The 22,293-nt window shown below is 42.6% G+C and overlaps 1 protein-coding gene and 1 long non-coding RNA gene across 2 annotated transcripts in view, besides 1 other annotated feature; one reads left to right on the forward strand and one right to left on the reverse strand.

The window, feature by feature from the left end:
• Positions 946 to 1,240: a silencer, noted in NCBI's record as "tiled region #3543; K562 Repressive DNase unmatched - State 5:Enh". NCBI's record gives its function as "represses a minimal TATA promoter and a strong SV40 promoter by Sharpr-MPRA in K562 cells {active_cell/tissue: K562}" and the evidence as "EXISTENCE:reporter gene assay evidence [ECO:0000049][PMID:27701403]".
• On the reverse strand, positions 2,829 to 6,739 carry LOC105372448 (uncharacterized). The gene is made up of 3 exons (XR_936049.2): positions 6,550 to 6,739; positions 4,307 to 4,476; positions 2,829 to 3,111 (listed from the first exon to the last, which is right to left on the reverse strand). It is a non-coding gene; the product is annotated as an uncharacterized LOC105372448 (long non-coding RNA).
• An 11,547-nt stretch (positions 6,740 to 18,286) lies between these two features.
• FPR3 (formyl peptide receptor 3) overlaps positions 18,287 to 22,293 on the forward strand; it is a 31,034-nt gene continuing 27,027 nt past the window's right edge. Inside the window, exon 1 of the mRNA NM_002030.5 lies at positions 18,287 to 18,461. The gene's annotated coding sequence lies outside the window, so the exon portion shown is untranslated. The remainder of the gene's footprint in view (positions 18,462 to 22,293) is intronic.

Consider the following 22,293-nt stretch of genomic DNA (forward strand, 5'->3'; position numbering starts at 1 on the left):
CAATTGAACTCATGGAGATAGAGAATAGAAGGATGGTTACCAGAAATTGGGAAGGGTGGCAGGAGTCGGGGGAGAAGTGGGGATGGTTAATGCGTACAAAAAGAACAGAAAGAATGAATGAAACCTAGTATTCAAAGGCACAATAGAGTGAATATAGTCAATGATAAGTTAATTATATATTTTTTAAAAACTAAAAGAGTATAACTGGATTCTTTATAATCCAAAGGACGAATATTTGAGGGAATGGATACTCTATTTTCTATGATGTGATTATTACACATTGCATGCCTGATATCAAAGTATCTCATGTACCCCATAAATATATACAACTACTATGTACTATGTACCGACAAAAATTAAAAATTAAAAAAAGTAATACTAAAAAAGATCGTTTGTAATTTAGTTGATTTCTCTGCTCTTATCTACTATCAGAGCTATAAAGCCCATTGCCACATCTTAGGAAGACAACTTTTCTGAAAAACAAATAGTGATCTATTTCTTGACATGAGTGGGAGTACATGAGCATTTTGTTTTACACAAATATATTAATCTTCACGTTTATCTTTTTCTCATTGTGTGTGTTTGTGTGTGGGGTGGTTGTTATAGTCCACATTTTAAAAGCTAAGAGAAATAAGTCAGCTGGATGTAGCGGCTCATGCCTGTAACCCCACCACTTTGGGAGGCCGAGGTGGGCGAATTGCTTGGGCCCAGGAGTTCGAGACCAGCCTGGGAAACATAGTGAGACCTCGTCTCTACTGAAAATACAAAAATTACCTGGGCTTGGTGGTGCGTGCCTGTAGATCCAGCTGAAGGACTGGGGCTGAGGTGGGAGGATAGCTTGAGCCCGGGAGGCGAAGGCGGCAGTGAGCTATGATTGTGGCACTGCACTCCAGCCTGGGTGACACAGCGAGACCTTGTTTCAAATAAAAGAGGAAAAAACGAAAAATAAGTCAATCGAATTCGGGTCCCCTTTTCTTTATACCAGTAAAGCTTCATAGCTCCTGAAATTAGGCTGCTTGAAGCAGGACACCTTTCATATAGGTGCTGCAATTCTCTAAATTCATACTTGCTAGGACAGGGAGGGTCAAAGGCAGCAGGAGGAAGCCATCCCCGGCATGACTGGCTCGGGTCTCCTGGGCTCGTGAAAACGAACTCATTAGACATCGAGCTCCCTCTTGTGGCAGCTAAAAGAAAACACAAGGAAATGCAACTCTTGCTTCACTCAGTTCTGTGACCGCATTGGGAGATAACCCTTGGAAAGCTTGATTATTTGTGGGCTAGCTCGCCCAGAATACATTTCTAAGCACATCTGTACAAGTAACTTTGTTCTTTCAATGCAGAAAGTCCCCTTCATTCCAAAATGTACATTCCAGAGACGGTGGAGGCTAGAGATCTCTCCTGTATCTCATCCCATTCTATGAGTTACCAGTGCCATTAGACGAAAGAAAGTCCATGTAAATGCTTAGGATGCTGGCGACTGTTCAACTGTGATTCCATTCTATCTTTCCATCTCATGCCTCCTGCGGCTCCAAACACCATCTAGTTAACTGCGTCCCGAATGTTGACCTACACTGATGCTGTTTCATCAGAGTCAATTGGGGAGGTGTTTGTTTGTTTGTTTGTTTGTTTTAATATGGGTTAGGTCACTGCAACATCAAAGCATCTTGATTTATAAAGTTTGGAGCAGAGCACAATAATCTGTGTTTAATCACAGATTAACTTTGTTCCCTTTAGGTATTCCCTGGTAAATTGTAATGTGCAATCAGATTCCCCTGTTTTCTTTTTTTGTTTTGTTTTGTTTTTGAGTCAGGGTCTTGCTCTATGGTCAAGGCTGGAGTGCAGTGGTGCAATCATAGCTCACTGAAGCCTCAACCTCACCAGCTCAAGCGATCATCCCACCTCTGTCTCCCGAGTAGGTGGGACCACAGGAACATGCCACCACACGGGGCTTATTTCTGTGTGAGCCACTGCGCCCAGCAATGATTCCCCTGCTTTCTAGCAGTTGAATAAATACTCTTTTAACTAGAGGACATAATAAGAACTAATATTAGACCATGAGAATTAGAACTAATATTACCTCTTGGAAACACGGATATATCTTTATGGTCCACACCATAGAACAAATGGTCTTTTTTATATGCGGTGGTAACACAGCCATTGGGAGGGAAACATGGGGAGAAGTCCTAGTTAGGAAAGCAAATTTGGAGAGTGAGGCTGTGATCGTGAAATCACAGGTGTGGACAAGCTAAGCTGTCAATACTTTGTTCTTCTGAAAGAAGAGGTTCTCAGCAACAGTGAACAGAATTAATAATTTATCAGAAAAAAGTCCCCCATGCCCTTTACACCTCAATTCTTACCACAAATAGCAAACCAACTAAATCTGGATCTGATTTTTGTATGTACACACAAAGCACATAACAGTTACTGAGAAACACAGTGAAAGAGGAAGGACAACCTCTGATACAAAAAGAGCCAATATCGCCTCCAAAAACTATGTCCCTTACTCTCCCTCCCTCAGGTCCTAACACTAACTTCCTGTCCCAATTTGTAGGGAAGTAGGTGCTCAATGGTTCCTCTTGCCCAGTGTGTTCTCTTCCAGTTGAAATGGCAATCTAGGCATAAAGTTTGGAAGATAGAGTCAAAGAATTAACTACTAATGATGGAGATTTTGTGAGACCCACACAGAGTTGGGAGGCTTGCTGGTTGATAAAACTCCTGGCAATTCATAATGTTTCACCTATTCTAAGTCACACTTGAGCTAATATTATACCAGGTTGTCCCTGTGTTAGTTATCTATTGCTGCAGGCAAATCACCCTCAAAACATGGCTTAAAACAATAGTAATCTAATTTACTATCTGTTACAATTTCTCTGGGTCAGGAATTTGGAAGTTTCTGGCTTGAGTGTTTCTGGATTGAAATCTCTCATGAGTTTGTAGTCAGATGTGAGCTGAGGCTGCAATTATCTGAAGGCTTGACTGAGGCTAGAAAATTCACTTCCAGGTGACATAATCCCATAGATAATGAGTTGTTGCTGGAAAGTTGCTTCCTCACCACAGAACTGCTGGAGTAGTCTCATAACGTGGCTGATGGTATCTCCCAGGATGAGTGATCTGAGGGGGAAAGCGTTAAATGGAAGTTTCATTCTTTTTATGAACTACACTTGGAAGGGATATAGCATTACTTCTGCCATACTCCATTGGTCAGGGCAGTCACAAGTCCTGGTCCAGATTGAAGAGGAGGGGGAAAAAATCCTCACTTCTCTGTGGAAGGAGTGGGAGGAGTGTGAATTACCTGTACAGACAACATGTGGGATGAGATAAATATGTAACATAGATATCAGTGGAAAATATAGTCTGCCACTGTCTCTAGAGATCATTCTAGATAGTCAAATCACGGTAAACATTTTACCAGTCACGATGGGTATCTAGACTATGGGAATAGGAATGTAATTTCAAGCCCAGTTTTAAGAAAGGGCAAGATTTTAAAAATTTATATAGGTTATGCTGTTGTACATCAAGTACAATTTCTTCCCAGTTGGCACCTCCTATCCCGTTCTTGTTACAGTCAAAAAACCATAAGAGGAAGTAGATACATTCAGAGAAATCTAGTTTCTATCCTTGATCATTCTAACATGTTTCCTGCTTCTACAGTTTCAGTGGCAGGAACAGAAGCTGTTCCTGGGATCAGCAACATGGACTTTGACTTGCCAAGGCCAATCTGGCTACACTCACTGCTGAGTGCCCAATCTGCCCACAGCAGAGATGGACACTGAGTCCCTGATATGGCACCATTCCCTGGGTAATCACCCAGCTCCCCAGTGGCAGGTTGAACACACTGGACCACTTCCCTTGTGGGAGAAGCAGAGCCTCGTTTTTATCGGGATAGATGTTAACTCTGAACATGAATGTGCTTTCTCTGTACATAATGCTTCTGCCAAAACTATCATCTGTGGACTTACAGAATGCCTTGTCCATCATCATGGCATTCCATACAGCATTGGTTTGATTGTGGGATTAAATTCACAGCAAATAAACTGTGGCAATGGGTCCACACTCTGGAATTCACTGGTCCTACCATATTGTCCATTTTGAGTAGCCGGCTTGAAGGAATGGTAGGATGACCTTTTGAAGACTTACCCAAGTACCAGCTAGCAGGCAATACCTTGCAGGGCTGGAGCAATATCCTTTAGGAAGCTATACATACTCTAAATCAGCACTCAGTGTATGGTGCTCTCTCTCCCATAACTAGAATCCAAGGATCCAGGAATGAAGGGGTAGAAATGGGAATTGTATCACTCATTATTACCTTTAGTGATCCACTAGAAAAATTTCTGCTTCCCATCCTCATGACCTTATGCTGTGTTGGCTCAGAGGTCTTGGTTCCAAAGGAAGAAATGTATCCACCCAGCGACACAACAATGTTTCTACTGAACTGGAAGGTACCACTGCCCATCACTACTTTGGGCTCCTCTTGCTCTGAATCAGCAGGCAAAGAAGGGAGTTACTGTATGGATGGGGTGACTGATCCTGGCTACTAAGAAGGAAATTGGTATGCTACTATATTATATAGAGATAATGAAGAACATGTCTGGAATATGACAGACCCATTAGGGCAGCTCTGAGTACCACCTTGTTTTGTTATTAAAGTCCATGTAAAACCACAGCTCTATCAAGCAGGACTGTAATGCCCCAGATCTTTCAGGAATGAAGGTTTGGGTTTCCCCACTAGGCACAGATGATGACCAACTGAGGTACTAGTTGAGGGAAAATGGAAAATGGATTGAGGAGTGAAAGATGGTAGTTATAAATACTACCATGATCGCAGAATCAGTTACAGAAGTGAAGACTATCATTTTAATGAATATTTCTTATTTTGTCATGAACAAATTTGTGTGTTTCAAAAATTTTTGTTTTCTTTCCTCTTTTGTCTCATTATCACATAACATAAAATGTATTAATAATAGGTAATTTTAAATCATGGTGTTTATATTAGAGGAGATCAAAAAGAAGAGAGAAGGCTGGGTGTGGTGGCTCACGCCTATAATCCCAGCACTTTGGGAGGCCAAGGCGGGTAGGTCACTTGAGGTCAGTAGTTTGAGAACAGCCTGGCCAATGTGATAAAACCCCGTCTCCACTAAAAACATAAAAAGTAGCCTGGTGTGGTGCTGTGCACCTATAATCCCAGCTACTTGGGATGCTGAGGCAGGAGAATCCCTTGAACTCAGGATGCGGAGGTTGCAGTGAGGTGACATTGCACCACTGCACTGCAGCCTGGACAAAGAAAAAGAAGAAGAGGAAGAGGAAGAGGAGGAGGAGGAGAAGTATAGGAGGAGGAGGAGGGGAAGGGGAAGAGGAAGACGAAGGAGAAGGAGGAGAAGAAGAAACATCACCCAAGGACTCTGCATCCTCTTCTGGAGAAAGAGTCAGTGCATTTTTGGCTATAAGGAAGATAGGTGTATCATGTTAGGAGGAAGGAGGACTTTGTTCTTACCTTTCTTTGGAAAATAAACATGATTTAAGGAAACGTGTATGGGTGACTGGATGACAAGAATGGACTGTGAGGGTTAGCTTTGTGTGTCAATGCGGCTAGGCTATAGTGTCCTCCTCATCAAAAATTATTATAGATGTTGCAGTGAATTTCTTTTCAGATATGATGAACATTTACTACCAACTGACTTTAAGTAAAGCAGACTAAACTTTATAATATGAATGAGCCTGAAACAAAAAATTGAGAAATTTTAAGAGCAGAACCAAGGTTTCCATGAAGAAGAAGAAACTCTCTGTGGACTGAAGCATCAACTACAGCCTGGGAGTTTCCAGCCTTCCCTTCCTGATGGTCTGCCCTATGGATTTCAGACTTACTGAGCCAGCTTCCAAAGTCTCATAAACCAATAAATCTCATATATATATATAAGTTCTATTTACCTGGTAGAACCCTGACTGATATATGTTTTCAGTGCTTTCCCCCCAGAGAGGTGGGAAAAAAGGTCTACTGCTCTGTAAAAAACCGAACATAATTATTATTGCTTTAAAATTCCTCATTTGATTCTTTATCATCTGACATCCCAGGTACTTACACTAATTATTTTTATTTATCTATGGAAACTCTGTAATTATGAACTGTGTTTTGAAACGCCAATAATATCTACTTAATTTCTCATTGAAATAAGGCTTTATATTTTGCTCTATTTAAAAACTGTCATATTACTTTTATCGCTTCTGTACTTTCTATTAAAAATCACATATTCTGAGAAAAAACAGAGGAATGATAAAACATTAACTAATATAAATGAGTAGGTATTGAGAGGAAGAGATGGAGGTGGTCTCTCTTTTTCTCTCTCTCTCTCTACTGTATCATTAAATTTTTTGTTATTGCCATCAGCATATATATATGTATATATATGTGTATATATGTATATATATGTGTATATATGTATATATGTGTATATATGTGTGTATATATGCATATATGTGTATATATATGTATATATATGTATATAAAATATGTTCTCTAATCTAACTGAAAAAAAAAAACTCTGTAGCACAAACCTCCTTCTGAACGTTACAACCAATCTCTGTTCTCCTTGACAGCAAATACAAGGGCCACTACCACTTCAGTTCTCTACTTCCTCATTTCACATTTTCACAACAACCCATTCTATATGGGTTCCTTTCCTGATTACTGCACCAGGACTACTCTTATTATGGATAACAGTGACATCTGTTGCCATGTTACCGCACTGCAGGTTCAGACATTTGGTGCTTGGCTAAGAATCCAATGGGGGGAAATCTACCATCTCTCAGGTAACAGTGGAATCTTATGCCCCTAAGCATATATGACTCAGTTGACCAGTCCTTTCATCTTTGAATAGATAATGTTCCTGGTGACATCACTCGTGTTTGGTTTCCCTCCCACCTCAGTGACTTCTCTTTCTCAATTTCCTTGATTGGCCCTTTTCTGACTTTTAAATATTGGTGTACCCAAGGGCCCAATTCTAGACCCCCTCACCTATTTGTGTCAATGTAGTCATCCTAGGTAATTTGTCCCTATAACTTGAAATCCCACCTGTCCATTGATGACCCCTCCCAAATCTCCATCATAATCCACAACCTCTTCTCAGAAGAAGTCCTGACTGGTATCTACCTCCCTCCTCTGCATTTCCACTTGAAAATCTAACTGAAGTATTTTATGTGGCATGACCAAAACAGAACTATCAATCTGATTCTTCCCAAGAAACTGATTGCCATGTTTTCCACATCATTTCCAATTTTAGAAAAAGTCACCACCCTCTACCTAATATCTTAAGTACCAAATATGAGTTATTCCTGATTCTTTTACTGTCATCCATCACCAAATCACATTGACTCTATGTCAGAAACATCGATCAAATCTGTGTGTTTCTTTTCTATGCACTGCTATCACGTGACTCCAATCCACCTCCATCTGGATGACTGTAATAGTCTCCTAATTCTTCTTTCTGCTTCCACTCTTGCTTTGTAGCAATCCATCTTTACAAACCTTTTTCATAGTGTAAGCATCATCATGCTCCTCCCCTGATTAACACCCTATAATAGCTGTCTATTGCACTAATAAAACAAACATTTAAAGCCTTTCTCTAGGAAAGCCTCATATTATCTGGTTCTTGCGTATTCTCTCACGTCATGTTTCTTCTCACTTATTATGATGTAACTACACTAGTAGTATTTTTATTTCTCAAACACACCAAGCTTACTCTTGTCTCACAGTCTTTGTACTAACCACTCCTCTGCCTGGAATATTTCTTCTCTTGAACTTCTGAAACCACCTTTGCAAAACTATGACCGAGACAGTGAAAGAGCTCTAATTTAATCAACTCCATCTTGCTTCTAACCTCCGAGCTGTCCTTGTTCATTTCTGGGTGTAGGCTGAACTGACTTTGGGAAAAACTTAGTTTGTAGTTTAAAACAAAGATGATAACAGCCCTTTCCCAAAGCAGACCTCCTTCTTCCCTGGGGACTAGATTGCCTTGTAGAACTAACATTAGCCACAAGATTAGAAATTATGGTTTAGGAGTCATGCAGCTGGAGGCTACAAGATTCTGACCCTCCCTAAACTGCTCCTAAGATCAGTGTTTGAGATATTTTGCAGACTCTACACTTGATGGATCAGCTGGCACCACCCAGATGGATAAACTGGCTCATCTGATCTTGTGGCCTCCACCCAGGAACTGACTCACTGCAAGAAGACAGTTTCAATTCCCTGTGATTTCATCTCTGACCCAACCAATCAACACTCTTGGCTCCCCGGCTTCCCCCCACCCACCAAGTTCTTCTTCAAAACTCTGCTCTCTGAATGGTTGGGGAGGCTGATTTGAGTAATAATGAAACTCCAGTCTCCTGCATAGCTGGCTCTGCGTGACTTACTCTTTCTCTGTTGCAATTTCCCCGCCTTGATAAATTGACTCTGTCTAGGCAGCCGGCAAGGTGAACCCATTGGGTGGTTACACTTCACATTAGCAGTTCATGTAATTCTGATTTCAGCTCACATGTCACCTCCTCAAGATATTGTTTTCTGAGCCTCTAAGATAAAGTAGCCTCTCAGTCACTCTCCATTCTAGTCCATGAAACTGTACTTATTCTCTTGATAACCTTCATTGCTGCCTTCTGTCAATCACAAAATTACCCTTTTCCCTCAATCTTTACAATCACTGATCTGAGTGCCTTTGCATTTCTCACTCTCTGTCTCTTCATCTATTGAAACAGCCTCTGCATTCACCTGCTATTCTGTGAAAGGGGAGTAGATTTCCACCGAATGATGTCTGCGCCAGTTCTGGTAGAGCTTGGTAAGCATGAGTTAGAAATTTGGAAACCACTGGAGAATGAAGAGCAGGGGAATGTCATGATTTGCTATGTTTTTAAAATTTTTATATTGACTCTGAAGCCGAATAGCAACTTTCAAAAGAGTAAATATTTTCCATTTTAATTAAGTCCAATTTATACTTTTTTCTTCTATGGATTGTGCTTTTGGTGTCGTGTCTATGAACTCCCTGCTTAGCCTTAAGTCTTCACTATTTCTTCTATGTTTTCTTCTAAAAAGTTAGTAGTTTTGCATTTAATATTTAAATCTGTAATCCATTTTGGATTAGTTTTTATAAAGGAGGTAAAACTTAGATTGAGGGTTTTTTGTTTGTTTTTATTTATTTATTTTTTTTCGAGACGGAGTTTCGCTCCTGTCGCCCAGGCTGGAGTGCTGTGGCACAACCTCGGCTCACTGCAAGCTCCGCCCTGCCGGGTTCACGCCATTCTCCTGCTTCAGCCTCCCGAGTAGCTGGGACTACAGGCGCCCACCACCACGCCCGGCTAATTTTTTGTATTTTTAGTAGAGACAGGTTTCACCGTGTTAGCCAGGATGGTCTCGATCTCCTGACCTCGTGATCCACCCGCCTCGGCCTCCTAAAGTGCTGGGACTACAGGTGTGAGCCACCGCGCCCTGCCTAGAATCTCTTACATGTTCTCACTCCTAAGTGGGAGTTGAACAATGAGAACACATGGACACAGGGATGGGGAATATCACACACTGGGGTCTGTCGGGGGCTGGGGGGCTAGGGGAGGGATAGCATTAGGAGAAATACCTAATGCAGATGACAGGTTGATGGGTGCAGCAAACCACCATGGCACATGTATACCTATGAAACAAACCTGCACATTCTGCACGTGTACCCCAGAACTTAAAGTAAAAAAGAAAAGAAAAGAAATTATTCTTCAACTTCACATTCTTCTACTCACTCCAAAGAGTCTATTGTACTCCAAAGCGTCTATTAAGTATGCCCTTAACAAGCTCCCCATCCCCAGAGATATGTTCTTCATCTGGATTTTATATTCCACCAGCTGGGTCCTTGCTCTGGGAAGTTCTAGGTCCTGATCTCCTGGAGAGAGTCACTGTCATGTAATTTTCACAGCAGAAGTTAGCCCAAGGGACAGGAGGAGGAGTAAGAGAACTGAAACCAGTTGGGGAACAGGAAACAGAAAGCAGAGCTCCTTCTGATTTTTAATGGCCCTAAGAACACACCAATATACTACTTGTTTTAATAGCAGTGGATTGTTGTGGGCCCATTTAGGAACTAAAGTACCTGACTGTGTTTCTCAACCTCAGTCTTTGTGGGATGCAGAGATTCAACCCTCTCAACCTAAAGGGCCAAGGAATCTGGGTGTCCAGGACCCTTCTCTCTCCAAGGGTCAAGGTAAAGAGAGGAGCAAGTACTGTAATGATGTCAGAGGCACTGGAACCAGAGCAACTCCATGTTGAATAGTAGCTGGGTAAAATTAGGCTGAGACCTACTGGGCTGCATTCCCAGACAGTGAAGGCATTCTAAGTCACAGGATGAGATAGGAGTTCAGCACAAAAAAACAGGTCATAAAGACCTTGCTGATAAAACAGGTTGCAGTAAAGAAGCCGGCCAAAAGCCACCAAAATCAAGATGGCCACGAGAGTGACCTCTGGTCGTCCTCACTGCTACACCCCCACCAGTGCCATGACAGGTTACAGATGCCATGGCAACGTCAGGAAGTTACCCTATATGGTCTAAAAAGGGGAGGAATGAATAATCCACCCCTTGTTTAGCGTATCATCAAGAAATAACCATAAAAATGGCCAACTAGCAGCCCTCAGGGCTACTTTGTCTATGGAATAGCCATGCTTTATTCCTTTACTTTCTTAATAAACTTGTTTTCACTTTATTCTATGGAGTCACGCTGAATTCTTCCTTGTGCGAGATCAAGAACCCTCCCTTGGGGTCTGGATCAGGACCCCTTCCAGTAACAGAAGAATTAGAGGGAAGCAATGAAAGGCAGAATGAAGACGAGAAGGATGGAGACCAAAACCACTGAGAGATTGAAGGGAGGCAGAGAAGTTGACAGGACAGAGCATCCACACCCAGGCACCCCAAGATTAACCCCATAATTTTTGGCTCCAGTGGAAGCTCATTTGTAGGTTTCTAGTGCAAAGAGGTGGTGGGCTTTCTGAAATATTAGGTTCTATCCAAGGGTATCAGAGTGGTATGGAGATAAATGGGAAGCAGAGACAGAAATAAGGTAGTCCACCTAAAAGCATTATTCCCAAGGCTTTGTGTCATTAAGGCTGTTTACAATTTTAAGTAGTTTATAATTTAAAATTACACCTAACAATGGCTTAAACCAAAGACAACATTTATGGTTTATTTGCTTTCCAAGAATTTTGCAAGTGAGTAGTACTAAATTACTTTCTGTCCAAATTATATCATTTAATAAGTTTATTTTGATCTTTTCACTTTTTCATCACTATTTTGGTGTGTTTTTTTTTTCCTGGAAATTGCCACCTCACGGCCCCAAGATAGCTGCCATAGCTCCTGGTCTCACAATACAGCATCTCATGCCAGGAAGATAGGGATGAAATGAAAAAATACTGAAAATTTTAGATCTGAGGCGAGATATGTTCAGATTTATTTTATAAAAATTTATCTTTGGGTCCTAATAACAAGAAGCATTTTAGAAGATTCCCAAGGAAGGAAGGGTAAGAAGTATAGATGTGTCTAAGAGGCACAAGGAAACCAAAATACTGTGTGTGTGTGATGGTTGGGAGGGGGGAATTAAAATAAGGGAAATGGCAGAGGACACCATTATGCATAAAGGAGAAGGACCCAGATGTCAAGAGAAAAAAAGAGGCAAAGGACCCCACAGAGACTAATTGCCAAACACATTTGCAAGTCTTTTGAAGTCCAATTATTCTTCCTAAAACTGGGTTCCTGGATGCCTCTGCATGTTTCCCATAAACTCTCGTTATTAAAACATAAGCAGTTGGGTATGGTGGCTCACACCTGTAATCCCAGCACTTTGGGAGGTCGAGGTGGACGGATCACCAGGCTGGTCAGGAGTTCGAGACCAGCCTGGCCAACACGGCGAGACCCCATCTGTGCTAAAAATACAGAAATAAGCCGAGCATGGTGGCGCATGCCTATAATCCCAGCTACTCAGGAGGCTGAGGCAGGAGAATCACTTGAACCTGGGAAGTGGAGGTTGCGGTGAGCTGAGATCATGCCACTGTATTCCAACCTGGTTGACAGATCAAGACTCCATCTAAAAAAAAAAAAAAAAAAAACAAAAAACCAAAACATAAGTAGGTTTTCTTTCTTGCTACGAAATGGCCCATGATTAACAAAAATGCCTAGAGGCAAGTAAACAGAATAAGAGTCTTAAAATGAACTTTCACTCCAATGGGGCAAAAATCATCTAAGGATCGTCTCAGTCAGACATGGGTGAGACTCAAAGTATGATTCATCCTGAGGCAAATTCCTCTTCAGCTGTAAGCCTGTTAAATCAGACAATTACGTGCTTTCGAAAATATAGTGGTGGGACAATCTAGGATTGACATTCCCATATCAAAAAGGAGAAATAGGAAGGAAGAAAGGGGAACCAGATCCTGAGGAAGTCCAAAACAATGTGGCAAATACATTTTAAGGCCTCAGTATAATGTTCTTTGACTCCATGTTCTGCTTTTTGGACACATTGGAGCTGGGGTTGGGCCACAACAGCTCTGGGCAGAACCACCATCATGGCTTTGCTGGGTGTAGCTGATGCAGCAGCTCTCAGGGGCTGAAGTCAGGTGCTGTAGCTCCCCAAGGGTGGTATTGCACACAGGTGGCTACACTGTTCTGAGGTCTCAGGGGCAGCCTCACCCCCAGGGTTCCACTGGACATTGCCCTAGTGGAGGCACTCTGTGGTGGCCCCATCCCCGCTGCTGTACTGGGCATTCTCTTAATGCCATCATATTGGGGGAGGGACTCTCTGTGGAGAGACAGAGAGTCTCTGGAGACAGCCCTCTCCCTGAGTTGCATGCCTGCGACTCCAGGTAGCACCTTCCTTCAAAATCTAAGGGGAGGCAGCCACAACCCCGCAGCTCATGCACTCTGTGCCCTGGTGGAGATGACACCACACAGATGTAGCCTTGGCTTACAGCCTGTGCCATCCAGAGAAGTGGCCTGAGCCGCAGTCTGGCGTGCTTGAGCCAAAGCTTGGAAGGCCAAGGAGTGCTATACTGGAATATGGGGAATACAATCTTGAAATTGTTTGCCGCCAAAACCTTGAAATTGTTTGCATTCTGTGCCTGTGATGGGCAGGGAAGATGTGAAGATCTGTGAGATGCCTTCAGAGTCATTCTTCCATTGTCTTGATGAATACTATCTGGCTTCTATCCATGCTAATCTCCGTATCAAATGTTCACTTACCCACACCATTGGTGTTCTCCCCTGAACATACTTTTGCACTTTTTACAGGCTGAGAATTTTCCAAATCTTTAGGTTCTACTTCCTTTTTGATTATAATTGCCTTTTTTTTTTTTTTTTTTTTGAGATGGAGTCTTACTCTATCACCCAGGCTGGGGTGCGCAGTGGCGCGATCTCGGCCCACTGCAAACTCTACCTCCCAGGTTCAAGCAATTCTCTTGCCTCAGCCTCTGAGTAGCTGGGATTACAGGTGTTCACCACCACACCCGGCTCATTTTTGTATTTTTAGTAGAGACAGAGTTTCACTATGTTGGCCAGGCTGGTCTCGATCTCCTGACCTCATGATCCACCTGCCTCGGTCTCCCAAAGTGCTGGGATTACAGGAGTGAGCCACCGTGCCTGGCCTATAATTGCCATTTTTTATGTAACTCTTTTCCTGCATTTTACTATAAGCAATCAAGAGAAGCCATGCCACACCCTCAATGCTTTGCTTAGATGTAACTTCCACCAAACATCTTATTCCATCACTCAGAAGTTCTACCTTCCACAAAGCACAAGGACACAGACACAATTCAGCCAAGTTCTTTGCCACTTTATAATGAGGCTGTCCTTTCCTACAGTTTCCAATAATATTTCTCATTTTCATCTGAGATCTCATCAGAATGACCTACTTCTACATTTCTACCAATACTCTGATCATTATTGCAATCTTCTTCTGAGCCTGTAGCAGAATCACCCTCAACGTTACATTCATGGAAATGTAGAGTTTTTTCTAGCACTCACAAACTCTTCCAGCCTCTCACATTACCCAGTTCCAAAGCCATTTCCACATTTTTAGGTATTTCTAATTATAATACCTCTACTTCTTGGTACAAATTAGTCTTTTAGCCCATTTGACCTGCTATAACAAAATCTATTAGAGTAAGTTATGATCCACATAAATTTATTACTCACAGTACTGGAGGATAGAAAAACCAACATTAAGGCTGGGCACAGTGGCTCATGCCACCATAATCTCAGCAGTTTGGGATCGCTTGAGGCCAGGAGTTTGAGAACAGCCTGGGCAACATGGCAAAATCCCATCTTTAACAGAAAAAAAAAAAAAAATTAGCCAGGCATGGTGGCACATTCCTGTAATCCCAGCTGCTTGAGAGGCTGAGGCACGAGAATCCCTTGAACTCAGGAGGTGGAGGTTGCAGTGAGACGAGATTGCACTGCTGCACTCCAGCCTGGGTGACAAAGCAAGACTTTCTCTCAAAAAAAAAAAGGAAAGAATAAAAAAAGAAAAACCAAGGTTAGGATGCCAACAGATTCCATGTCTGATGAGGGCCCATTACTCATAGACAGCGCCTTCCATATGTCCTCACATGGTGGAAGACAGACAAGCTCCCTCAAGGCTTTCTTACAAAGGCACTAATCCTATTTATGAGGGTGCAACCATCACGCTCTAATCTCCTCCCTATGGTCCCGCCTTTTAATACCATAACCTAGGGGGTTAGGATTTCCCATACAAATCTGGGGAGGGGAGAAACAAACATTCAGACTGTAGCAGATGCAGCAATAGTAACTTTAGGAATGTGGAATTTATAAAGAGCACTCATTCTTCCCCATTCCCCACAGCCATCCAGTCTCCAAGGCTGGTCTACTCAGCCTGGACAATCTGTCTCTAAGCTACGCCTCTTCTTGATCACACTATTCCTGCCCTGGGTAGCTCTTCAAGAACCTTACCTTGATTTCTGGCAACATTCTCCATTCTAATATCTCTGTCTCCAATTAGAAACATTCTCAAAGGCATCCCTTTGCAGGACTACAGAACAATATTTTTCAGAAGCACACACCTGACAAGTCACTGTCCTGCTTAAATGGTTATTCATGTTATTATGAAGAAATTCCAAGTCCTTCTTGTAGCATTCAGGACCCTCCAACAGATGGCTTCTGCCACTTGCTACACACTCAGTGTTTATTGCTGTCTGCCTCACCATCTATGCTCCAATAACCGCAGGTAACCTGCTATTTTTTGACCCTTTCCTGCGTGCTTTCACTCTCCTCTGCCTGGAATGTATTTTTTTTTGCTTCTTTATCTGAGTCTTTAAGATTCATCCCGGATGTTATCTGCATTGCACTTGGAAGTGACCCTGGACCCTGTCAGTCTCAGTTAGTTGTTCCTTTTGGGAAATCTCATAATGAACCAGGCATCTGTCTATCACTATATACCCCCACTCTACTGTGACTGCTTAGGGAAATGGCAGAGGACACCATTGTGCACAAAGGGTGCATAAGACTATGCTTAGTCACAGTAGAGTGACGCTGTCACCTCTTTACCTGGGTAGTCGGCATCTCCAGGGTAAGGCACATGTCTGTTTAAGCTCTATGTCTGCAGGAGCCAGCAAGGGAGCACCTCTTCAGAGGCCTCATGCAATACCCACCACCCTTTATTATACTGATAAGTAAATTCCATTTTAATCAGGTGGCAGGTAGCAATGTGCCACTGTCCTAGGAAAGCAATCATGATTGGCCTAAGCCAATATGAGCAACTTGTCTTTTTTTTTTTTTTTTTTTTTTTTGAGGTAAGGTATTGCTCATTGCCCAGGCTCGAGGGCAGTGGCATCATCATGGCTCACTGCAGCCTCAACTTCCCTGACAAAGCAGTCCTCCCACTTCACCTCCTGAGTAGCTGGAACTACAGGTCCACACCACCACACCCAGCTAATATTTTTTTGGTTTTAGAGATGGGGTCTCACTATGTTGCCCAGGCTGGTCTTGAACTCCTGAGCTCAAGCAATCTTCCTGTCTTGGCCTCCCCAAATTCTGGCATTACAGGCGTGAGCCACTGTCCCTGACCTTTATTTTTATGTATCGGTATTTTTGTTATTTCTTGGCCATTGATTGGTCTAGAGATGGCATGCTCTGGCAATGAAAGACAAGGAGAGGTCCTGAAGAGACTCTGGACAAGGTTTCCCTCTGTAATAAAATGGAAGAGGCATGTGAATGAGTCACATTTTCTGCCTGTCTCATGATTCTGGCTCGGGAGGGCCTGTTGATGCAATGTCCAGAACAGTGGCAGCCATTCTGTGGTCACTTTCAAGAAAGCCCTAGAAGAAAACCAATATGATGATGGAGTGGAAGGGTGACATTAAACTCAATTTTTGTTCAAACTCCAGATCTATCCCCTTCCAAAACTTTTTTTAATAATAAATTTCTCCATGGCTTATGTGCTTCATTGGTTTACTCTACCTTATCACTGAAAACATCCAGTGAATCAGAGAGAAAATAGAAAATAGTTGACTCTTGTTTTGTGGCTCTCCACTGTTTTTCATGGTTCTATTCCTTGGGCTTGAGAACAACATTCTGATGGTGTTTAAAAACTCAGAAAGAGCCCATCTCCTTAGATCAGTAGTCCATAGAGCATCTCCCTAGGGGCAGAAGGTTAGGGGGTTAATCTCGGCAATGGTGTGGAGTGTACAGTGTCTCTCATTTACCTTCCTTACCTCTCTACATGCTCCTAGTTACTGCTTCTCTTTGTAACTCTGAGGTATGAAATACCTCAAAGCATATTTGATTTTGTCACAGATTTCTGGCACAGGGCTCTTAAAACCCTTGGAATTCCCTGAGTGATAGGAGTATTATTTGTTATTCATAAACAGCCCCTTTTGATCATAGCTGAGTTTATGCTAAGGAGATCATGGCCTTAGGATGGGACTGGTCACCAGAAAGACCAAGGGATTAGAGGGTTGGAGCTGTCAGCCCCACCTACTGATCTCCAGGAAGGGGAGGCAGGGACTGGAGATTGAGTTCCATAAAAACTCTTGAACAATGAGATTTGATGAGCTTCCACATTGGTGAACACTCAGGAGTGCTGGGAGAGTGGCTGCCTGAAGAGAGCATGGAAGCTCCATGCACCACCCAACCCCTTCCCTGCCATATACCTGCCATATGCCTCTTTCCAATGGACTATTCCTGAGGTATATTCCTTATATAAAGCAACAGATGCAAACAAAGTGCTTTCCTGAGTTCTGTGTGCCATTCTAGCAATTTATTGGTGTCATTGGAACACCCAATTTATAGCCTGTCAGTCAGAAGTACAAGTAGCCACCTGGGACTTGCAACAGATGTCTGATCTGATCTGAGAACAGTTTGTGGGAGTGAGCCCTTTAGCTTTTCGGATCTGAGCTGAATCCAGGTAGACAGCATCATAACCGAATTTTTAATTGCAGGTGGCCCAGGTGGTGTCCCCAGAGAATTGGAGAATTTCTTGGTGTAGAGAAAAAGTATATTTGGTCAGAAGGATTGTGAAAGTAGAGAATCGAGTTTTTGTTTCACCGTGCATCTTTGTTTTTTTATTGTTTTTCCTCTCATTCTTCTCACCTTGGTAATTGTTTCTTTCATTTTCCTGAATCTCTGAAAAGAAAGGGCCTGGACTCTCAGATTTCTTGGCCTTTGATATTTGGAAGGATGAACTCCAGTCTCCCACAGAAGGCTAGAGGTGAAGGAACATTCAGACACATAAGTTTCCAAGATAAATCGTCTGAGAACATCTCCAAGGTGTCTTCTGGGAATGGTAAGAAACCCTGAGTTTGTGTCACTGGATTGATTCCAGCTCCATTGTCCCCGTGTCCTTCAACTAAGTCTCTGCTGAAGCCTGTTCTATAAAAACAGCAAGTAAGTGGTTTGGACTGACCTATTGTACTAGGTTCGACAAAGCAAACCAAATGGAGTCAGTCATACTAAAACTCCACATCACCAAACCAAAACTAATGTATCTGAACTTTTGAGAAATCAGGAGAGAGAGAAAATGGACAAATTCCTAAAACAGGCCAGTTTCAGTGGGCATGAACATGAAGTTCTGTCTGCTTTCATCTTTACAAAAAAAAAAAAAAAGCAATCTGTGGTAACTTGACTTCAATCAATCAGTTGTTCCTTATTGCTGTCTCTCTATTCCTGCTGCACAAAAAAAATGCAACATCCAGATGACCAATCAGGTTTTTGTTCTCTGTTTCTGCTTTCTTTAGCCCTCCTATCCCTGTAAAACCAACTTCCTTGGCTCTAACTATCAAAACACTCATTTTGTTTTATAGCATGACAGGCTGTCTGATTCCATCTTTATAACCAAAGCCAATTAAGATCTTAAAACCAAACATATAACTTCATCTTTTTACAAGTACTTAGAGCCTGAGTTGCTCCACAGGAATCCAGGAACTGGGCACAGGAAAAGGATCTAAGCTGGTGGTAAGTTGGGGTCTGAAAATTTTAAAGTTATTGTTGAAATGCCTGCTATATGACAGAGCCCTTCTAACTCTGGAGTAGCGTAGTCCAGTGAAGAATCCACTTCGTTAGTATGAAAACAATGTTAACTATTTCATTAACAGTGTTTAATTTGGTTACATGTTCCAGTAACATTCTTTTTTTTTTTTTTTTTTTTTTTTTTTTTGATGGAGTCTTGCGCTGTCACCCAGGCTGGAGTGCAGTGGCACAATCTCAGCCCACTGCAACCTCTGCCTCCCAGGTTCAAGCGATTCTCCTGCCTCAGCCTCCTGAGTAGCTGGGATTACAGGCACCTGCCACCACGCCTGGCTAATTTTTTGTATTTTTAGTAGAGACGGGGTTTCAATATGTTGGCCAGGCTGGTCTTCAACTCCTGACCTCGTGATCTGCCCACCTCGGCCTCCCAAAGTGCTGGGATTACAGGCGTGAGCCAATGTGACTGGCCAATTCTTTATCATATATGTAATTAAATAAAATTTATTACTAAAATAATTTCCCCAAAGGTGTTTTACTTTTTTAAAAACAGTGGCTACAAAAAAATTTTGAGTCCCATATGTAGCTAAAGTTAACACATTATATTTCTACTGGACATGTAGCATTGTAGAGATGTAGCATTGAAGGATCTTGATAGTCCTGTGGAGCTTACGTACTAGTGTGGAGGGTATTTAAGAGAGAAGATAAATGAACAAACAAATAAAGGAGAAAAGTATCTGGTGAGATAGGCTGTACCTGAGCATTCTGCTTTGCAGAGTGGGTGAGGTGGGATCTCTCTGAAATAATATTTGACCTGAAATATGAATATTCAGGATGAGCCAGGTGCAGGAAGCTCAAGACGAAGAGCACGGTAGGCAGAAGGAATAGAGAAAGCAGAAGCCCTGAGATGACAAAGAGCTGCAAGTTCAAGGAATTAGAGCCCAGTGGGTGGAGCCCAGTGTGTCTGATGAGAGTGCAGAGATGAGGTCTGAGGGATGCACAGGGCACATGTGGCAGTGGATAAGGGAACCTAGGATAAGGGAACCTAAGATAAGGGTAACTTAGAAGTCTGGAAGCCATCGGAAGGTATTGCGAATAACATCACCATCTTATTGGACCTTTTTAAAGCTCATTTGGTTTCTGTCTGGAGAATGGATCTTAGGGGAGGGGGCAGCAGGACCAGGAAAAAGCTATTTGCAAGGCTTGTGCAAATATCCAAGCCTGACAGGGCCATGGACACCGGTCGTGGAGATGGCAATGGCTCTGGCTGTGCATTCAGCATGTTCTGTAGATAGAATGAGTAAGACGTGGATGGCGTTGGGTGGTGAGGAAAAGAGAAATGAAAGGTGAGTTCTAGATCTGGAGCTTTAACAACTGAATATTTAATCTCCAAATAGATACAGAATATTGGAAGAGTGGCAGGTCTGGGAGGCAGAGAACATCAACAGTTTGGTAAAACCATGTGAGGTTTGGAGTCTATGGGACTCCCACGGGGAGAGGTTTTATCAGACTTGAGTGCCAGGGAGAGGCCACGGCTGATAATTTAGATGAAAAGACAGCATAATGGTTTAATCCCAGAGACTGGATGATATCATTTATAGAATGTGAGATACCCCAACATTTAGAGTCAAATTTAGAATAGAAAACACCGTAAATTGGACTAAAAAGAGGAAGAGAATCGAGCTGTAGAGACGACCAAGAGTGTATTGTGTGCACATATCTCTTGGATATATCTCATGGCATAGGAAAAATGTGTTTGAAAAGGGAGAAAGTGATCCAATGGGTCCTGTGTCATTGGGATATCAGGTCTTAAAAACTGAGAAGGACTCACTGGATTTGGCAGCCTGGGGGTCATAAGCATCCTTGGGAAAATGCATTAGGTGGAGTGCTAAGGACAGAAGTCAATGTGGAGTGGATTAAGGAGAACAGCTGAGGCGAAGAAGGAAAAGGAAGAATTAGAGACATTCTCTTTGGATGTTTGGCTGGAAATTCTGTCTTACAGACAGACCTTACAGAGAGGTCATTTGGCTAGATAGGGTTGAAGCTGGAAAGAAATATGCTTCAAAGGAGGTTTCTCTTGAAAGAGAGGGGGCGTGATTATGTGATAGAATGATCTAGTAGAAATACAATTTTCAATTTTTTTGGTATAAAAAATGATCTTTTATCCCTCACCACATCCCACCTCAATCTAAGTCTTAACTTTCTCGTCTGTACAATGGTTATACAAATTAAAACTAACATTAATCAATATTCACCGTGTCTCAGGGTGTGTTGAGTGCTTACACATATTAACACATCCCATCCACAGAGCCTATGAGAGGAGTTGTGAGGGTTAAGGGAGAAGCTCTTGGTGTGTGGATAATGTTCATAAGTAGAAGCTACTATTGCTATAAGCATCGTTCTTGTCCTGACCCTGAGCTTCATAGTGCAGGGTTCGGGATTGTACCCCACAACACAACACACAGCCTGGTGAGGGCTAAGAGTTCTAATTTGTTACAGATTTACCGACCTATCCTAGATGATTTCCATGTCTATTCTTTTTTTTTTTTTTTTTTTTTTTGAGACGGAGTCTCGCTCTGTTGCCAAGCTGGAGTGTAGTGGTGCAATCTCAGCTCACTGCAACCTCTGCCTCCTGGGTTCAAGCGATTCCCCCACCTCAGCCTCCAGTCCATGTCTATTCTATTTAATCCTCCCCTGAAAATCAGTCTTTATCAAAAAACCATTTCAGTTCTGCAGAGGGGAAAATGGGGGCTCAAAGAGATGTCACTGATCAAGAATTTACACCATCGAGGTGTCAGAGATAAGATCAGAGTAGAGATCTAACTGACTCCAAAGCCTGGTACTCTTTACACTGTTACAGTGACACCCAACTGGCAGGGGGAGGGGGTGGGAGGTATTTTGCCTCCCAGGGGATCTTTGACAATGTCTTTTGGTTGTCACTCCTGAATGGGGAGTTGCTACTGGCATCTCTGGATAGCGGCCAGGGGTGCCGCTAAACATCCTACTGTGTACAGAACAGTCCACCACAACAAAGAATTAACCAGCCCAAAATGCCATTGGTGTCAAAGCTGAGAAACCCTGAGCTACACTAAACAATGTCCCTGGGAAGACCTCAGTGAAAGTGACTGATAATGATAGGAAAAAAGAAGGAAATGAGTAAAAGAAATAGGAGAAAAAATTTATTATACGAGGGCAGGACCCTATCCTGGTAATTTTGGAAGAACGCCTTTCAATGGCAGCACTTGAGCGTGCAAAGGTAGTGGCTCTGTTCGGTCTGGTTTACAAATCTTCCTGTCTCCACTGACTGGCTAGGTATGATGCTGAAAAAACTACAGGAGTCCCTGGGCCATGGATTCTCCCTAGTAAAAAAGGGATGATGATGGCTGCCTCACAGTGTTATTATGAGTATTAGATGTAAACAAGTGCTACATAATTGCTATCATTCTTAAAGAGGCTAAATAGCCCAGGGTGGGAAGATTCTCAGATTTTCATGATCATAGAAAATTGCTGTAGCTTGGCTGGGCGTGGTGGCTCACACCTGTAATCCCAGCACTTTGGGAGGCCGAGGAGTTCGAGACAGCCTGGCCAACATGGTGAAACCCCATCTCTACTAAAAATACAAAAAATTAGCCGGGCGTGGTGGTGGTGCCCAGCTACTGGGGAGGCTGAGGCAGAAGAATTACTTGAACCCAGGAGGCGAAGGTTGCAGTGAGCCGAGATCACACCGCTGCAGTCCAGCTGGGTGACAGAGGAAAAAAGGGAACCATTCGGACATTTGCCCCTGAACTTGAAGTGCGCCACACCCCACTCCCACTGCCAGTTG

Source organism: Homo sapiens, chromosome 19, assembly GCF_000001405.40.
Source record: "Homo sapiens chromosome 19, GRCh38.p14 Primary Assembly".
Taxonomy (NCBI): domain Eukaryota; kingdom Metazoa; phylum Chordata; class Mammalia; order Primates; family Hominidae; genus Homo; species Homo sapiens.